Below are 21,261 nucleotides of genomic sequence, written 5' to 3' on the forward strand. Positions count from 1 at the left end.
GGCAAGAAACGAGATGGAAACAAAAGAATACTAGGAATTTTAAATGTGAGGACTTGAAGTTGAGAGACAGAGTCATGCATAAACCTGGGGAAGAGCATTCCAGCTAGTGGGAAAGGTAAATAAAAAGTTATTATTTAGATGGAGCACAGTGTATGAGGAGGAGTGTAGTGAGAAGTAAAGTCAGAGAGTAGAGAGACCTACAGGCCAGTATTGTCTTTAATGTACTTGCAGAATCAGAAGTAAATCCTTACTCTGTGAGTAGATTGTGAGTTGGATTTTGGAAAGATTTTAGTTTCCTGAGTAAAATATCAGAGAAACATCCACTAAGTCAATGAAGGTATGACTTCAGCTCAGTAGGCAGATTGGAGATACAGAATAAGAGGACCCATCTAACAAGTTTGAAAAACATTCTTCCAAAAATTAAAAGGGAAAGGCTGAGTCAACATCAAAAATAGAATTTTCAATAGAAGATTGTGAATGACGTGAATGACATTGAAAATAATTCAGAGAAGTCACATAGGTAAAAACTGAGAGAAGGTCATTATGTTTGGCAATTAACAAGTTTGTAGTGACTTAAATAGGAGCTCTTTTAGTAGATTAATAGAAGGAGAGACAGATCTCAATGGTCTGTGGAATATGTGAAAGTGAGGACGATGAAAGAAGGTTAGTATTGAGGATTTTTTTATGGTAAATGGATAAAGAAAGCTAAAGTTTGTTTGATCATTTTAAAAATACACTTTATTACAAAAAGAGTTTCGTGTAACTTTGGAATTCTTAATTTCTGTGTATTATTTCTATCAAGTTAAATACAGGAAACTTCAAAGAACCTACAAATTTCCTATACTGTGCTGAAATTAATGGAGTGATTTGACTGTGAAGTACAGTCTAGCAATCCAGCATAGTATGAAAAACATGTGATCTCAAATAAAGACCTGGATTTCAGGGCTGGTTTTGGCAAACAGTATTGCATGGGAGTGTTAAACTTCTTTGACCTTTAGTATTAACATAGAGTTAGGATACTAGTAACATCTACCTGAAAAGTCTATTACAAATATGAAATTCATGAATACATGTTTTTTAAAAAGGCGTTTAAACATACACAGGGTGGTTCCTGTTATGATTAGCAACAGTAGGTTTTACAGAGGGAAATTGGTGACTCTGATTTTAAAGAGTGACACTTTTGCTCCCTATGATTTCAGGCAAGTCATACTTTTTAAATCTAAAAAATACTATCTGTGAGGAGGTTTTAAAGCATCAATCAACCTAAAAGTTTAAACCTTTTCCCCATCTTTGAGCATTATTATTATTTCTAAGTTTTGTAAGTGATTTTTATTTTGAACTGGATCTTGTACAGAAAAGTGTTTACAAACTGTGAAGCACTATGTACCTGTGAAGTTTTATATATTTTTCATGTTTTCATTGCAATGATATTTTACTTAATTAGATTTCACATGTAACTACTATTCATTATAGCAGATTACATATATATATCTTCTGATTCCAAAGAAATACTTTCAATAGTTTTGAAATAGCCTTGGTTGCAAATAGAGCACCTTTGATTTTCTTCATAAAATCATCTTTCATAACCTTTGGATTGAACACCTTATATCACTTTCATGTTGCTCTTTGAAACTCTATTTCTGATCCCTTTAACATCAAATACAGAAAGAAACATACTAGAGCACCATCACAGTACAGCCCTTTGGAGATTCCAGAATAAGGCCTATGGCACAGTACGTTAACCCATCACCCATTCGGATACTTTAGCTTATTTGACCCCTGCTTGACAAGAAGAGGTCAGATTCATATTGTTAATATTCTTAAGCATGTGTATGTCTGACACCCTCCATTTCCCTTTAAGACCAGAATAGAGTTCAAATGCACTCACCTTTTCAATAAAGCATCACTAGTATTGTCTGCATATACACTTGGTATTCAGAAGATGCAGATCTTTTTGAAGTAAAATCAAGAAAATACTTCTTGTATATATTTTGCCAAAGATTTAAAATGCTTTGTGCAATAAGTTGCTCTTATCAAAGGTTTAGATGAAAAAAAATGAATGTTTCAGAAGATATATCTTAACCTAAAGAATATAAAAAGTAACAGCTATGCAAACCAATTTGGTAGATAATAGTTTTAGGTCACTAGATGTTCAGAGCTAAATTTTGGATTTTATCATTAATAAAATGAGTCCTCTATACGACTTCTTCCTCCTCTTATGTCTTTAGTATTTAATTTTTGGCAATACATTATGGATGGACTAGTATACAGTTATAAAAGCATGGAATTTTACATTGTAGAACTCTGAATTTGAATGCGAGTGGTCTTTGACACTTTACAATTGAACAAGTTACTTAACCAAGTGTGATCCATTTATTTTTTCTATGAAATGGAAGAATGTATATATCACAGAGTTTTCTCTTCCTTGTTTTATTCCATTTTTCTAATTAAATAAAAAACTGTGTATACATTGCCTGATACAAAATAGAGCTTCAATCAACAATTGGCTTCTTTTTAGTATGTTAGGTGGTTTTATATAATTGTTAATATAAATTGCCTAAAATTATTTTATCTGAGCATGTATGATATTAACAAATGTGTATTTGATACCAAAATATGCTCAATAACAAGATGAAGGAGAAGAGTAAGGAGAAAATTGGCCATGATAACAAACATACTCTCTCATAAGTAAACTACTACACAAGCATTGCTATTCTATTATTTTGCTTTTTATTGTTGTTAACTTGATCTTTATCAGTTTTAATTCTATTTTGGGTGACTTTCTATAGGTAAGGATGTAGTGATAATAAATCATAATACATTTGAAATACAATCAGGAACTGCAATAATAATGTTTTGGTTAATGACAGACCTCATATACAATGGTGATCCCATAATATTTTAGTGAAGCTGAAAAATTCCTGTTGCCTAGTGATATCTTGATGGTTCTGACCCTGTGTAGGCCTAGGCTAATGTGTGTGTTTGTGTCTTCATTTTTAACAAAAATTTTAAAATGTAAAACAAAGAAAAAAACAACAAGAAAAGAAGCTTATAGGATAAGAATATAGAGAAAATATTTTGGTACATCTGTAAATGTGTTTTTGTTTTAAGCTAAATGTTATTACAGAAGAGCAAAAAGTTTTAAATAGGAAAAAGTTTATAAAGTGAAAAACTTACAGTAAGCTAAAATTATTAAAAAATAAATAACTTGAAAAATGTCTTATGAATTTAGCATAGTCTAAGTGTACAGTCTTTATAAAGAATAAGGTAATGTACAGTTATGCCCTAGGCCTTCACATTCACTCACTCACTGACTTACCAAGAACAACTGCCAATGTTGCAACCTTCATTCAGTAAGTGTCCTATTTAGGTGTGCCAATTTTTATCTTCTATGCCATAATTTACTGTCACTTTTCTATCTTTAGGTATATTTATGTACACAAATACTTAAAATTGTGTTACAATTGCCTACAGTATTCAGTACAGTAACATGCTATATGGGTATGTAGCCTAGGAGCAATAGGTTTATACCATGTAGCCAGGGTGTGTAGTAGGTTATACCACTTAAGTTTGAGTAAGTATACTCTATGATGTTCACACAAGAACAAATGTGCCTATTGATGTATTTCTCAGAACATAACCCTGTTAAGTTGTGCATGACTGTGATAAATATCAATACTGTGAAATGCTTTGAGAATATATAGTTATTTCGTTATTTATGAAAGTATTTCATTGTTTTTTATGAACACATTTTTCCCTGAGAATGATTGCCAACTAAACAAGGTTTCATTGGAGTTTGTCTATTGACAAGGTGTTATTGGAGTTTGTCTATTGACAAGGTTTTATTGCAGTTTTTATATTATCAACATTATCTAGCTTTGCAAACCATAGTGTTCAAAAACCTTAATTCAATGTGTTTGTCATCACATACATTTGATACCAGGAAGTCATTTCTTTAAATGAAAGAGTTTAGAAGCTCAGGTTATCTCAGAAGTTGAAAGATATACATAGAGACAAGGATACTAGATTCTGAAACTCAGCTTCTAAATGTTCATCACTACCTCAAATAACGTGTTATAGGGAATACCAAATTTTTATCAAATAAAGTAATTGTTCCCAAAATAAAATATGAAAAAAGTTCACTATCAAAAAACTTGTGAATAAAATATGTACTGTGATGATCATTAAAATCAATACATTATATCACAATTTGTATTATACAAAGGTAAGAAAAATCTAGTAAAATCTTCAAAAGTATCTAAAGATTAATTATAGTTAACTATTACATACTCCATTCAATAAGTATTGGTGTTGTTCAGTTTGTACCAGATATTGTTGAGGTTCTGAAGATCTAGCAAATCTGGTAGACCTATAGAATTAAACTGTTAACCAATGTCCTGAGTAACACTGAAATAAATGAGAAATTGAAAAGCATGCAGGTTTTGAAGAAATTTTCCCAGTGTAAACTCAACTTATTTTTCCAAGTACGATTCTTTATATTTTGTGATTTTGTAGTTTTGCTAAGATTATTAAGAATTCAGTAATCAAAATATTTACACATTCAGCACTGACCAAATGTCTTCTTGTGTTGATTTTAGTTTCAGCAGTATGTATGCACATTTAGTATAAGCTGCTATGAGAATGATTTTTGAATGATCACCATTTTCTTTTAATTTTGGCAGTTCTATGATATCCATAACTCAGAAATGTAAGTTCAACCTCACACATAACCAGAAACCTAACTAAACTATAAATTATCGGGTAAAATTCCTATTTTACTAACAAAAATTAAATGATCTTTTATTACACATACGCACACACAACACGTAAACTAAACTATTTATAGAGGACTATAAGTAACACATTGCATGCCCTCATTTCTCTAGTGTGACATGTACTGGAGTTCTATTTGAGAAGCTTTATTACTGCTAGCTGTCTTCCAGATATATGTCTATTCTTGGTTTTATTTGGAGATTTATTTATATGCTTCTTTGGCGCTTTTTCTAAAGTGCATAGCTAAGAGACGTGAATTTTTCCATTTTTTTAGTTTTGTTTATATGTTAAGATATCATCTAGTTATAAACTTGTCATTGGCTACTAAGTTTATAACATGGTTTTTCTTACAGAAAAAAATATAGACTTCCATTCTTTCTGTCACAATTAATTTATGTTGCAGTAAATAGGTTAGTAAGGTCTAGAAAATATTTTAGAAAGGCAAGGGAGAACAAGTACTGAACAGATACAAAGTTCTCCCTGTAGAGAAGGATTTGTAGAAACAGCCCTGTGTGGTCACTGGATGGCTGTATAAATTGTCATGTTGTGCAGACATCTCTCTCTCTCACTCTATCTCCTTCTCTCTCACAAAATAGAGCTTTTGTGTCTTTTAAATACACACACACACACACACACACAGACACATAGATGCTCAAAAGGAAATTTGAAGTGTTATAATATTTAATCTTGAAAGTAGAAATTTTCAGCTACCTATTTCTCAAATAATTTTCCCAACATTTCTCTTATTTGGATGATTTTTGTCGCTAGTATATTTAAAAGAAAAATTATATTTTAAAAGACCTTCATATACAGTACATTTTTCAGTTGTATAGTGATGTTACTTTTTAAAGTATATCTTTAATATGTAACTATCTTTTAAAATTATTTTGCTTTACCGAACAAATTTTCTCCAAACAAATTTACTGGCATCTTGTCATTTGGTGTTGACATTGTAGCTATACTCTTGATGTCCCCAGTGACTTTCATTGATTTAGTTCACTTTTCTGTTTGGAATGTAACATCTTACAGCCTTGCATTGACATCTTCTGGGGAATTTTGTGATGGCAGAAAGTCCTACTAATGTGAATAGTATAGATTCATACTTATTTTCTATTGTTTATATGCTATCTCTTAGCTTACTGAATGATGTTATTTAACATATGTCTCTGAGGTGTGTATAATATATAATTTAAAAAATAATATTAAGCTTTCATTGATCTATGCAGCTGAGTGAGAGGCAATATTTCTAGATAAATTGTACTTTGGGATCCCAACATTATTATAATTTTGAACAGAAAATGAAAATTTTTATTTCATGAGTTACTCATGAAATGAGTTAACTCTAAAAGTCTTCAAGATAATTTTAGCAGTACTACTCTGTGTGTATGTTTATTGCTTTTCTTTTTAAACAGTAGTTACACATTAATATATATTTCCTTAGTACTTTTGAATTCATCATGCATGAAACACAACATTTAAAATGGGCAAATTTTCTATAGAATATAGTTCACTAAAAATGCTTTACTATCATATTTGTCTTAAAAATAAGTATTAATGATATAATTTAAAGAGCAGCTAATATATCAAAATTGCAATGTTGTCAGCCTGTTTGCAGGCACAGATTTTAAGTTCTTTACTCAGTCCTAGCAATAGAACTTCAGTAAAATGTCTGTCTTACCATAGCTGCCTATGGAATAAGACCCGTAATGGGATAGTTTGTGACTACAAAATATATTCAAACTAACTGAACATATCTATATAAAACTTTTAATCTTGATCTTACTAGAAATATTTTCTACTAAACTAGCTATTTCTATGAAAGTACTAAATACACTATCTTCCTGAAATAATAATTTCAAGAAATATCTATTTCTGTAAATTTTCTTTAAAAATTTCTTTTAAAATATTGAATATGCTGAAATTAAAATAAATTGCTTAAATGATTAAATATAAACAATAGTAATAAACATTCCATACAGATTTTCAGAAAATTATATTTCAATGAAGACATGCTCACCTTATACATTTACTTAAGCTCACTTAATCTGTCATAAACATATGATTATGAGATACTGTCACAAAGTATCTCATCAAATCTTCAATAAAACATAAGGTTATTCTGTGTGGCAAAGACTTCTTTTTTAAAAAATGTACACTATTACACTTCTTAAGGCGAAAGTATGAATTCGTTCTTTTTTGAACGTCTTCTTCCAATAGGCATTTCTCTGACAGTTTATTGGTCATCACCTCTAGTACATTTCACCTATTCAAGGTGTTAATTAGGGGATGCTTATTCTATGAGCTAGCCACATTTTTGCTTTCAATTTAAATTAAAACATGTTTCCAGAATAGTTTTATAGGCATTATTGTATATCTGACTAATATGAGTTATTGTTAACTACATTATAAATCTTATTTATAGCCATATCCTTGGTAAAATAATATTTGATTCCATGTAATAATGCAATTTACAAATATAAACAGAGGTAAATAATTACACTATTATACAGTAAGTAAAATTGTCATTAACTACATATACCTTTTCCATGAATGACAATATAGTTTTTCTTGGTATTTAGTGTATATAATAGGAAAATCTTCATCTCTTAGTTACCAGATACATAAGGTATATTTTCTATCTATAAGCAAGTGGGATTTAATAAAGTGCATTAAAACAAACTGACAATAAAAAGCAGAATATGGTGGGACAATACAGTGGTCCTGGGAAGCTGTTACATTGCAATTGGAAAAAATAAGTTGATATTATTAGAGAAAAAAATGCAATGGGAAAGATGGGCTTCCATAAGACTTTAAATGCATTAGAGGAAAAGAACAGTAAGAAAAAAATGATCATGTGGCAAGAATTGCATGTTTCTTATCCCATGGGAGTTAAGAAGAGAGTGAATATTTTATTTTTGCTGCAGCAGAGGGAGATGATACTAAAAAGACAGTATAATATATTATAAACTGTTGATTAATCTGTCAATACCAAGATATGGTACTTGGCTATTTTTTTGCCTGCAGGAAAAGTAAACCCTTTGGAATTAGCTTTCCTTTGTTTCATTTTTTTCTGCTTTATCATTTTATTGATTATTATTTTTACTAATTATACTCCTTATCTGGTCTCTTCAAAATCAAGTTGGAGCTTTAGATATGAGTCTATCATTCAGGAAAAGAAGCTGGCAAAAAAATATAACAATAAAGGAAGAAACACATGATGGGAGTCTAAACATTACAACTCTCTTGATTATAAATAGAGATATAGATAGATGATAGATAGTAGATGGACATACTGACATATATATGAGCATAGTAAAGTATGATTATAATAAGTAGTTTGGAAAGAAGAAATTTACTTTTAATACATTTCTGCTTTTAATGTCTTATCCTGGTAATGAAGCTTTATATTCGTTAACTGATTTCATTATTATATTAATTTAGCAAATGTTTGCATTTCATAGATAGGTATATTAAATCTCAAAAAGTTTGAATAACTTGTCCAAGATAGCATAAGGTAGTAAAAGCATACCAAAGGCTTTTCAAAGGATTCAACACTGGAAACATTGAGCCCAACAAATTCTGATTCTATGTTTGTGTAAAGAATGATTGGATTCACATATTAAGTATTTAGAGAATCAAGTCGTTAAAATGTCATAAGGCTACCGATAAATTATTATTATTAAGCCTGAACAACTGTTTATGTGATAAATACTGTCTTAATTAGGATTATTTTTTTAAATCTCAAATAGATACAAAGGTAGGAATTCCTTTAGGATTAATGATTTTTATTTCAAATTGAAATGAAATGAAATAAATTCTGATTCAAATTTTGCTTGAGGTTATTTATATTGTATATAGTCTTATTTCCTGGAGGTATTAGAATTAGAACACATTAAAATATTAGTAAATTTTATGGTCATAATTTTAATTACCAATAACTTCACAATGGTAAATCATTTAAAGCCTTGAGAAATTTACGTCAGCATACCGTTATTCCTAATTTCCAAAATAAAATGAGTTATATCACTTATTTATCACATAAATGTTAATAAAATTAGTCTCTTTTTCTACCAAATTTTTATATCTTGAGATTTGCTGATTATAAAATTAAGCAGAGAGCTTCAGTAGAGGCTCAAATGAACTCTAAAACATTCAATCTATCAATGTCAAAAATTATTTAGGAAAACTGAAAAGAAATACAGTTATTGTTTATATTTTCTCAATTTCCTATAGTAAGCATTTGCTATTTTTAATAACAAAAATAATCAGCTAAACTTTAAAAGATTTAATTGTTATGTGAGAAATAGCAAATAACATTATTTTATAATTAAATGAGAAGATGTAGGTAAGTCTAAGATGAACTGTAACTGAAAGATGAAAGATTTTTAACATATGGGTTTAGGAAATATTTTAGTAAATCATATTTTAATTCCTGTTTCTGTATATATTCTGTACTCTGTTCCTCCTGTCTGAAATATATTTCTTCTTTATTTCTGCTCAGACTTCGACTTTTTCCATGCCATGCCGATCTTCTCCTCCCCTGAGACATGGCCTCAATTGATTTTACTCCTTTCTAACAAAAACTCATCTCTCCTTTGAAAATGAGAAATTGTATCATTAATGACAACATGGATGGAATGTGAGGACATCTTGCTAAGTAAAATAAGCCAGGCACAGAAAGACAAATATTGCATGATCTTACCTTGTATGTGGAATCTAAAACGGTTTATCTCTTGGAAAGGGAGTAGAAAGACAGTCTGGGTTGGGGAGGACGGCCTGGAAAGTGGTGGGGTTAGGGATGATGTTAATCACAAGGTACATAGTTTCATTTAGACTGAAAAAATAAGTTTTAGTGATCTATTGCACTGCATGGTGACCACGGTTAATAATAATGTATTATATCTTTCAAACTTGTTAAAATAATATTTTTAATGATGTCACTATAAAAATAGTTAAGTTGATGAGGTGATGGATATGGTAATTAGCTTGATTGAATCTTTATATTTTATTTATATATATATATCAAAACATGACATTTTACCCCACAAGTATACACAAATTAAATTAAAATGATTCATCACAAGTTTCACGTGCAAAGTCTATGCTCAAATTTTACTTTCAAAACTATGTTTCTCTTTGCTTAGAAATCTGGTGGTTTCTATAGTGGTTTCTAAAGCAAAAAACACAGAAACAACATACAAAATGTTAGAGATAAGTGTGCACGGGCACTGCTTGAAAGAGAATAAATTGATATACCAGCTAGTATAGTCAAGTGGCAGAAAAGAAAATGACATTCTAAAACAAGTGGTCTATATATTTCAGCCTTTCTATTACTTACTCATAAATACAGGATCATTTTAATGCTGATATATTTATTAATTCATACAGATTCACAGTTTCTGAAAGGACCATGGACTAATTGGATCACAAGCAAACTGAAACATTACAGGGTAAATATTATTGTGATTAGGATTATACAAAAACACCATGATGCCTCTCCCAACTTAGGGAAATCAGTGAAGGTTTTCTTGAAGAAAAGTGTTATGAACCATTAGAATATTTGGGTAAAAGGACCAGACTGCCAGTACAGCCAACTGCTGTAATATGAATGTTTTTCTTATGTGGCTTAGTGATTTTCTTTTTTAAAAGTGGATAATGATCTGGAGATATTTTTAAACAAATAAATTGAACGCTAGGTTTTGAAGAGCTCTCTGGCAGCGCTATAGAGATTGGATTGAGTTTGGAGGTACATTAGATTCACGAAGGCTAATTAAATGGCTCTGGCCATAATCCAGGGTTGATATGAAAAAGCTCTTAACAAAAGAATTGGGGGTAGAGGTAATAGGAAATATGAAGCAGTTTTGAGAGGTATTTAATATATTGATGTGACCAAGTCGAATGACTTGTTAAGATATCATAAATGAGAATATAAGAAGAGTCTAAGCATTTTTTACACCATAAAATACAAACAAAATAATAATATTTCAAAACATTTTGGAATATACAGATAAACTTACATTTAATGAGAGATAATCATCTGACAAAAGGGCAGAGATGAACAATATCAATCTATACCTGCAACCAATTTGGGACACACTATAATGGAAACCTCTCAAGATTACTTCTGGGCTTCTGCTTATGTAAGTAAGTGGATTAAAGATAGTACCTTCAAGTGCATGTTTTGAGGACAGTAACAACTAATGAGTAAAGTTTTGGACAAGTTAAATAAATCAAAGTACAGATATCCTGCATGTTATTACAAGTTTTGTTCTACATTTCAGAAGACAGCAGTAGGAGAAGAGAGAGATTTGAGGTTATCAACATTTAGGTATTGGCAAAAAGCCATGAGTCTCCTTAAGATAACAAAGGAAATAAGCGAATTGAGTAGGTCAGTGAAAGAACCTAGAAAGCACTAAAGTTTCAGTGGTCAAATTGAGATGAGGATCTAAGAAAGAATACAATCAATAAACATAAAAAGAAGTTAGAGGAGACCAGACATTTTATTAGACAAATTAGATAAAACATGGATGGTCACCAATAGTAAATGCTTCAGAAAAATGAGGTAATACAGAGCAACAACAATAACTACCATCACCACAACAACTATTGAAATCGGAAACTGAAAATTCCTTGGTAACACTGGGAAGAACAGTGCTAGCTGGGTAATAGGCAAGGTACTAAAAAATTAAATAAATATAAGATTGGAGATTATAGACCATAGGCTACTCTTTTAAGAACTTATACGATTTGGAGGAAAAGACAAATACTTCAGTAGCTACACAAGATGCATTATGATAAGATGACAGTACTTATATTTATATCTAAGTTCTACTGTATTTAAAAAAGGGAGGTGTGGGCAAGAATAATTAGACAGGGAAAAAAATGACAATGAAGTTGAAGACAAGACAACTGATGGAATAAGACTCCCATTGGGAAGAAGGTATGTGTTTCAGATTTTTTTAAATGGAGAAATTATACTTCAGAATAACAAAAACACCTTCATTTAAGATAGAAGGTTAAGGGGAAAGTGGTATTACAATGCAGATAATTTTCTAGTTTGAAAGGGTAAAATATTGATGGAGTCTATATCTCATTAAAGCTATTTAATTGTAAATAAGGATATCTGCTGTGTAAAATGTAGTCTCTGAAGTGCAGGCTTTGAGAATCAAGGAGGGTTTTGATTAAAGGATATTGAATTGCTGTGTAAAATTGAAATTTTTTGTGAATTTAGAGCTATTGTCACATGGTTTTGTCTCATTAAATTCAGAAGTAAGATTGGGAAAAGCAATAGGTTGATTAAAACAATATGCAGGCTTAGGGAGTTGAAGAGGCAGACAACCAAGGAATAAAGTGTTAATGTTTGGGTGACAGAATACTGTAAATAATAAATAAAAAAAATTACTACTGGGAAGAGATTGTTTAGAATAAATATAATGAAAAATATGTTCTGAAAATTATAAATCCCTAGGTACATATTCAGAAATATTATCAAAAGATACATTAATGCTTAGCTATAATATGTTAATATAATTAGCAGTTTAACACTAGTGCTACTATAATGAAAAGGACCACTTATATAAGGATCCTTATTCACACAAAATTCCACATTCATTTAAAATACAATTTAAAATAATTATCCATGAATCATATTTAGTATTTAATTTCATTATCTTAAGGAATACATACTATATTATTTCCAGAAAAGACATAGAAAATAAGTAAAAACATAATTTCTTTGGCAATCCTCTGAGAAACTGCAATAAAAAGAACTGCATTGTCTAATCAGACTCACTCAGAGCTTGAGGTTTATGAAAAATCTGAGCCATAGAAATGATCACAATATACAAGCAGAGCAGAGAAGTCCAGGGACTGCCACTGCAGTTGTCTTGTTTGTTGTTGTTGTTTGTTTTGAGGCATTTTTTGTTTTTGCTACATAAGAGTAGAACAGAATAGCATATCAAGTCCCTAAATAATGTTCGCAGCTATATTGATTAAAATAAAAATTGAGTTGTTTTAGTTGTAATACATCTCCATTTTATACTCTGATATTTACATAACATACAGGACCTTTACCAGGGAGCCATGCTCTTAAATCCCTATGCTCTACATGTGCTTATACTAAGCAATTAAAACAAGTACAACATATGAAGAACATTTTATAGATAAGGGCTTTTTCACCAGCAAATACCAGTAACATGTTTGCAAGAGGTTTGTCATTACACTATTTATGAGTATATTTGTCCAGGCTATCTTCTTTGTTTCATGGGGGCACCCCTCCATTGAATTGAGGGAATCATCTGTAGGCCTACTGCTAACCATTTTCTTCCAGAAACATACATTTATATTTGACAACTGGTGGTCCTTTAATATTCATTTAAATTTTAAGTTTCTCATCAATGAAATTACAAAAGATGAAAGACATTAGTATTTTCCCTGCGCCTCTGAGCCAAACAATATCAAGTAGCTTCTAGCTGCTTTCTGCATAATTAAAAATATAATGTCAGTACGGTTAAGCATCCAAGGTAAATAAAGTATTACATGATGTCAAGAGCTACCTTATTGATAATTTGGTCACTGTGACCTCTGAGACCCCTCTGAAAATATCTGGACTTAGAGAAGAATACTGTGTTTCCTATTTATTGCTTGTCTATGCTATATAATCTCACTCTCCCTCTAAGAAACCAAATTAGGAGCTAGAGATATGTAACTAGACATACCTAATAAAGGAATACAATTGGCCAACATAAGGTATTTCATCAGCAAACACAGTTCACTAATTTTTCAACCAGAGATGTTAAATACTATCCAAAGCATTCTATGATGTTATAAAAGTCCAAAATACTCATTTATAAGAAAGTGCATTTGTACAAAATATAAATAGGAAAGCAAGGCGGTCTTTTCTTACAGAATCCTACAGTAAGATCAAAGAACCTTACTGAACAGACATTTAAATAGATCACTGAGAGGTAACATTTGAATTGGTTTTAATTTTATTTGAGAAAATTCTACCAAAATCTATAAACCAGCCAATAAAATGTCATGATTAACTGCATCAAATGCTGCCAAAAGGTCCAACAAAATCATGAAAGACAACGTCCCTTGTTGCAATCAAAAGGTCATTATTTTCTTTCAATACAGCAGTCTCAGCACTATGATGAGGATGAAATCCTGATTAAAATTGCTCAAATGAGTCAAATTGCCTCATGTGTTAATGTAATTGATTACAACCTCCAACACTTTAAGCAGAGCCTAAATTAAAAAATGAATGATGATGTTGCACTTTATCCACCAGCAATGAAGCTTTCTTCAGCACTTCTGGCTCAGTATAAATTCACGGTCATTTGAAGAGCTGACTCAGAGCCAAGAAGGAGAAAAAATACTATTTTAATGTCCATCAATGACATTATGAGAATCAATATCCAGGTACAAAACAGAGGACTGAGTCTTGCTGAGAATCCATCTCTCACTCCGAGAACCAGAATTTACTAATCCTGAACTGTTGAAAAAGAATATCTACTTTGGTCTCTGAATAATTACTACCATAAACTGAATGATCATATTCCCACATTGTGCTCCTCACAAAGTTTTGCTACTGAACAATACAAAAAAGACATGTTCTTAGATCTTGATAGTTCTCCCTCATTTTGGTGCCTCTCACAGATTAAGAGAGACAGGAACTGTGTCATTGACCTCCAGGTCATTAGTGCTACAGCTGTACCCTAAGACCATCGCAAGGTAGACTAGAGATAGGAGGCGGAGACAAATCAGAAAAGAATGATTTATGGATTGCAGATATTTTAGCAAACAACCTTGGCTCATAACTTATGCATGTAATCTATGAGGAAAAATTGACATTAAAATTTAAAATGTTGCTATGTGATAGTAATAACAGTAATAGATAACATTCAGGGAGTGATTATTTTTTCCAGGAAATATTATAAGTAATGTATCTACATATGAACAAAATTCATGTTTGTATTAGCTTCATAAAAATATCTCCTAATCTATAAAATAATCCCTATTTTGCAGATTAGGAAACTAAGACAAAGAGAAGAAGTTCTGCCAATTCATTCTTATATAAGTACAAAAGTTTGAAATTGAATTCAAACATTTTGTTTCAAGAGCCTGCACCACTGTCTCATAGCATCGCTATGCCATCTTATCCCATGTTGTCTAATGCTTATGTGGCTAGTGACACTAGACAAAGCAACTCAATTCTCATGCTACATTCCACTACTTTTTACACTGGTATTTCCTTTAGTATGCTGCAAACAGCCATACATATATCCATATTTATATACACACATAAAATGTCATAAGAATCCTAAAGGGTATATATCCCTAAGCACTGTTTTATATGTACATATGTATTATGCACATATGTATCAAATGATTTAACTCATAACTGGATAAACACTCAAAAACTTTTATAAGAAAAAAAATTATAGGACAAAGTATATATTGTCTTTGGCTTAAGTTGCCTATCACTAATTATTTGGATTAAAAGGGTTTCTCAATAGCATTGAGTGGCAATGACAAAAAAGATTTTCTCTGCGGTAATACTCTCACCATAATAAACTATCTTAGCAGAACGGCATTATCACAGTCAAAATATTGTTGTAGTCTATACATTCTTTCTTGAAGACACACGTATTAATTTTTTAATCCTGAATATGACAAGAAAGAAACTATAACATATTTTGAACTGAAATAACAATGAGAGAATCATTTCACACAAAATCATCTCTAAGTTTCATTAAGTACATCAGCTGTCTCATCAACTGATTTTTGAAGTGGCAGAATGACCTAGCAAATCACATCTAATGACAAAGAAAGTAAATGTAATTAAAATCCAACCTAGGGCAAAAGCTAATAACTGACAAATGAAGAGAAGGCATTAAAGTTATGTTAAAAGGTGAATTAGTAACCTTGAATGAAATAATAACACTCTAATGACTAAATTTCACCGACTGCTTACCAGATTCTGAAGTCAATCAGTCGTCCTTTTAAATCAGGTGTCCAACTATCCCAAGATTGATTAAGAAATGCTGGCTTCCATTTTTTCAAAGCAATTTCAAATCCTTCCATCAGTAGTTATTTTACTTTTAACATCTTTCCCAAATTGATTGCAGATTCTGTTCTTCTTGATTTTTGTTCATGTTTCATGGCTCTGATTTCTCATTTAGTCACATCATAGGTCGTAAAACTGTGCTACATTCAAAAGACCACTGAATTTAGCAGAGTATTTAATGGACATTGAATCAGAAGGACTGTGGTTGAATTTCCATTTACCACTTACTGAATGAGTAGTGTTAAAATTAACCTTTTGAATATCTGCTTTCTCCACTGTACAGGGAATTTTAAAATAACAAAATCTGCAAATACCTTATTTTTAAAAAAGCGAATGTGTTAAAATTTGGATGATCCTTTCAGTTGGACAAATGTAAAATATTATTTTCAATGGTAACTGACATTTTAGCAATACCCAAGGGCACATTTAGAAGAATGAAAAGTAGCAGCATTTACCATTGATTTTGAGAGGTATAAGATATTATATTCGATTCAACTTTTTATTTTATAAAAATGAAGAACTCATTGCCAAAGAGATAAATGTATCCGAGATCTCAAAAATAGAAATTTGGGGTAAAGTTTCTTGAATCTGGTCTGTATTTTGTTTTCAAAAATAAATCATTCAGGATTTACTAAGCAGATACGTTCTGAAAATGTGCTGACAGGAAGGAAGGAGATGAGATCTGTTTCTAAATGGGCACAATACTATTTTAGAAAATCTTGCCAAATATGAAATACCAAATAAAGAGACTAGAGTCGTTTTCCAGTTTTGCCTTTGAATTTGTAAATATGGAGAAGGAGCCAATTCATTTTACTCCATTTTCTTTGTTTGTAAAATGGATAGGACACAGTCATCTATAATGTCCTCCAGCTCAGTGAGTCAGCTTCAGAGCCTTCCCCACTGCTTATAGTAAGCAAAACTTAAGAATTTGACCTTATAGTAAAGAACAAGTAAGAACAAGTAGTTTATTCCTGTTTCAACCAGGTACTCTCTTGACCTTTGAATGATTACTTGATTTAAATATTCTATCCTACAAAATGGAGTTACAAATGTGCCCATTTTGCAGAGTTGCTCTGAGGATTAATGACTCACTTTGCACATACAAAGCACTCAGTCAATATAAGCTTTTATAATTTATTATAATGATTGTTTTCATTAGCTGATGTGGAAACAAGACCACTCATTAACTCATAATAATCAACTCCTATAAAGTATCTTTAAACACTGTCCTCAAAAGAGTTATGTTACAATTGTGTTGAATTATCTTGTTTGTTTGCTTTATGAATTTTCTTACCTCTCCTTTACTTGGCCTTGAATATGTCCAGCCTCTTACAAGGCCACACTAGAACATATCTTTCTTTATGAAGCCCTTTCTATCCTTCTCTAAGCTAAATTAACTATCCATCTCTTGCAGTAGCATTCTGTATACATTTCCACAGTGATACTTAAATTATATTACCATGAATTATACTTGTGTCTGTGTCTCCTACAAGAATGACTCTTCAGGGAGCAAAACCTGGGACTTACTTACCTTGAGAGTTTGGAGGCCCAGAAGAATTACTGGCAAAACAAAGATTCTTTGTACACATTTGCTAACTTTATGAAGTATTAGTGTATCAGAATGTAACATTAAAATGTATTACATTCTCCCAGGTTACTTTAGCAAAACCCATCTAATCAACCTATAGGGATATTAATGTGTTAATAATCTAGATAATTGCTTCGGTTTTTCAGATTATAATTTATGTAAATAAAGCTGTATTGCTGTATATTTTACTTTGAACATATTTATTACTTTGAAGTTCTTGTTGGAGAAACAATAAACTGTGATACCTTTGCTCTCTCTGTTCCTTCTCCCAAGAATATCCTTCTCCCAATATCTACAAGGTTCACTCTCTCATCTCCTTCAGGTTTCTGTAGGAATATCACATTTTCTCAGATCAGTCCCCTGACCACCATTCCTTTTGAATCCATTTTTCCATTTGTATGATCTTCCTCTCCTATACCCACATTACATTTTAAGTGTTACATACCTTGTTCATTTTCTTTGTCTTGCCCCAGTTAAATCTTTCTGAAAGCTAGGCCTTTCATATATTTTGTTCATAGCTATATTATCTTTGCCAGAAGGTGGTCTGTCACACGTAGGCACACAAAAATGTTTGTTAAATACATGAATACATGAATAAATACTAAGATAGAGTAAGGGAAATGGAGGACAATGGTATTTAAAAAAACACAAAATGTCAAATAGTTTAACATAACAGCACCATAGATTTATCGAGAAGAATCATTAAAGAAAAACTTTCTTTAAGACTTATTATTATGACATTGCGAGATGTCTTGTTTTCATGTGAGCTAATAATCGCAATTACAAAATTAATCATTGCAGCCAGCACACACCATGGGTAATTATGTGTATTGCAAAGTATATCAAAATGAAGAGTGACTCCTTTGTGAATTTGTATACCTTCTAAAACATATATGTATTGAATGTGTGCAAATATCTCTTCATTATATATATCTACCAATTGATTTCTGGGTACCCTGCAAGCCCAAATGTTTTTAGCATCTATTTCTCCTCTGTATAGCAGTTTCCATGAAGATCATGTGTCTGGCAGTACTAGCAGAGTCCCATCAGCACAGGTTGTAAATATATGAATGATAACAGCAATAATATTAATAATAATAATAATATAAAAACAATAATACTAATAGAGAGTAGCAATGGCAAGAAGCATTTATTTTTTAGATGGTGTACCAGTACAATTGGTAGCAACATCTGATTGAGAAATTATGAGCCATTCCTTCTCTAAGTGAGATGTCGTGGTTTTCAGAACACCCCATGCACAGAATTTCAGTTGCATACTAGTATTACTCATCTACTGATCTGTAAGCAGCAGAAATCTTGTCTAAATAAAGATACTTTGCAATTTCTAAATACGGTTCTAAGTTTCTGAACTTGTGATCCTCAGATTTATTTTTTTTAAATCTTCGATTCAGATGGGCCTGGATTTGACATTCAAATAGAGTACATCAAAAGTTGTTACTAAATCATCAGTTTTAAAACTTGAATATGAAAACTGCATTGGAAATTGTGTAAAAAGTTATCTAACATACTTTTGCATTATTCTATAAGCATTAAGGTGAGTTCTGAATAGAAAAAAAGTTCAGATATTAAGAAGTTTAAAGAAAAAAGTGAATTAACCTAACCAGCAACATTCACATTAAGTGGATATCATGACATTTAGCAAATTAATTTTAAATTTTAAAAAATCACATAACATATTGTAAATAAACACTGCTTTATGCTGGTTTGTGTGCCATTGTTTCAGTAAAATCCCTTGCCAAATAAGTTTTGCAAATATATGATTTAACACAGATGATACTGTAAGAGGTGATGTAAAATTGTCTGTATTCATTCAAACTAGACATAAAATATTTTTAGATCCTAATATTGCAAAGAGTTTAATGGGGAAGAAAATGAAAATATTAATAAAGAACATATCAGTGCTGATTCAGAGAGGAGAAAGTTATCAAGAAAAAGAACAATTCAAATAAAAAGCAGTAAGAACTACATGAGTAACAGGATTTCTGGATTTAGGGGGTTATTTTTGTTTTTTTTTGTGTGGGTTTTTTGTAATATAATTTTTTTCTAACATCATGAGAGCAATTTGGTAGTTGGGCTTGTGTCTACTTTGTTAATGATGTTTGGACTTTTGGTGTTAGAGCCCTACAGTTGACATAGGAGGATTATTTACTTTCCTTGTTTGGAATTTAAACTGTCATAAAATCTGTGGCTTAAGGTGTAAGAGCACTGTGTGTGTGTGTGTGTGTGTGTGTGTGTGTGTGTGTGTGTATCTGTGTGTCTGTGTGTATGTGTACCTATATTTATTTTCTTATATTTATCACATTAATTAATATACGCCTATTATTGAGACTTGAAAGTGTCTGTAAATGAAAATATTACAATCACCCAAATTCACCCCTCTAATAAATTTATTGTGTGTATGAAATTACATGTCTTTTTTTCTATGCACACCAAACTGAAGGACTGCCTAAAGGACTCTGTTTTGGTCTTCACATTACTGAGTGTCAGCGATGTGCAAGACACCAAACTCAGAGCTCAGTAAGGGGCTCAGCCTATGGGGATGTTTAACAAACATTTGTAAAATTATGACTGAATGATTATTACAAGTATTTTCTATACACTCAAATATTTTTCAAAATTATGATTTTGAATGGCTTCTTAAGGGATTGTCATCTCATTTTGTCATACTAAGCATCACTCCAATATTGTTGACTATTATTTTCAATTCCTTGCATCTAGAAATAATGCTGCAAAGCCGGGCATAGTGACATGCACCTGGAGTCCCAGCTACTTGGGAGGCTGAGGCAGGAGGATTGCTTGAGCCCAGGAGTTCAAAGTTGCAGTGCACTATCATGGCACCTGCGAAGAGCCACTGCACTCGCACTCTAGCCAGGGGAGCATAGTGACACTTCATCTATTACAAAAAATTATATAAAAATTATAAAAAGAGAGAATACTGAATGAATATATATATATATATAGCCTTTGTAAATTTTTCTTTAGCTTATCTACCCAGGTGTTTGCATTATTTTACCAAATAATAGAATTCACATAAATATGCAGAGTTTTCAAAGAGACTGTATTGAAGTTAATGCTTGTGTACATTATTATTTAGTGAAAAGTTAAAAATGATGGCATAATGTTTTGTTTCATTTTCCCATGTTAATAGTAAGGTATACCCAGAGTACATTTCTTATTAAGAAAAAAAAAGATTGGGGTCACCTTGATCAAAAATTACCTGTATACTAGTTCAGATATATTATATATGAACTACAGTTTAAGAAATATCATCAAATATTATTAATATATTCTACTATCTAAAAATTCTGCTATAGCATTATATTTTATGGCTAAAAAAGCTTGATACTGGTTGTTACAGTAAATCTTTACTAATTTATGAAGCATCAAATTCAGATTTTTAAAAATTATGTCAAGCTCAAGCTATTTAGAATTCAGCATAGTTTTATATACTACATAAGAAGAAAACAGCTTAAAATAAAATTATATTATTTTATTGGGATGGGCTCTGGAGCCCATCCATTATTTGATTAAATAAATAAAAATAAAAAATAAAAAAATAAAAAAGAGCCATTATTTGATTAAATAAATCAAATCAAAAATTAAATCAAAATTAATTTTCATTAATTCTTCATGGGCAAATAAGTTGTACTAATAGCCAAAAACATACCTAATTAAATATATAAAATTCTCATGCAATTCTACCTTCAATAATTACTAAAAGTTGGAAGTGGCATTTAAACTTCAAAGTAACATAACTGAATTTATTTAATAGTAATTAAAAATGTCTATGCTACTATATAGGGCTAGA

The 21,261-nt window shown here is 31.0% G+C and overlaps 1 long non-coding RNA gene across 1 annotated transcript in view; it reads left to right on the forward strand.

Moving 5' to 3' along the window:
• Nucleotides 1-20,928, forward strand: part of LINC00383 (long intergenic non-protein coding RNA 383) — a 99,756-nt gene extending 78,828 nt beyond the window's left edge. The window contains exons 3-4 of the long non-coding RNA NR_125752.1: nt 10,162-10,223; nt 20,172-20,928. This is a non-coding gene — a long non-coding RNA (long intergenic non-protein coding RNA 383). The remainder of the gene's footprint in view (nt 1-10,161; nt 10,224-20,171) is intronic.
• The last annotated feature ends 333 nt before the right edge of the window (nt 20,929-21,261 follow it).

The sequence above is a fragment of the Homo sapiens genome, chromosome 13, assembly GCF_000001405.40.
Source record: "Homo sapiens chromosome 13, GRCh38.p14 Primary Assembly".
Taxonomy (NCBI): Eukaryota; Metazoa; Chordata; class Mammalia; order Primates; family Hominidae; genus Homo; species Homo sapiens.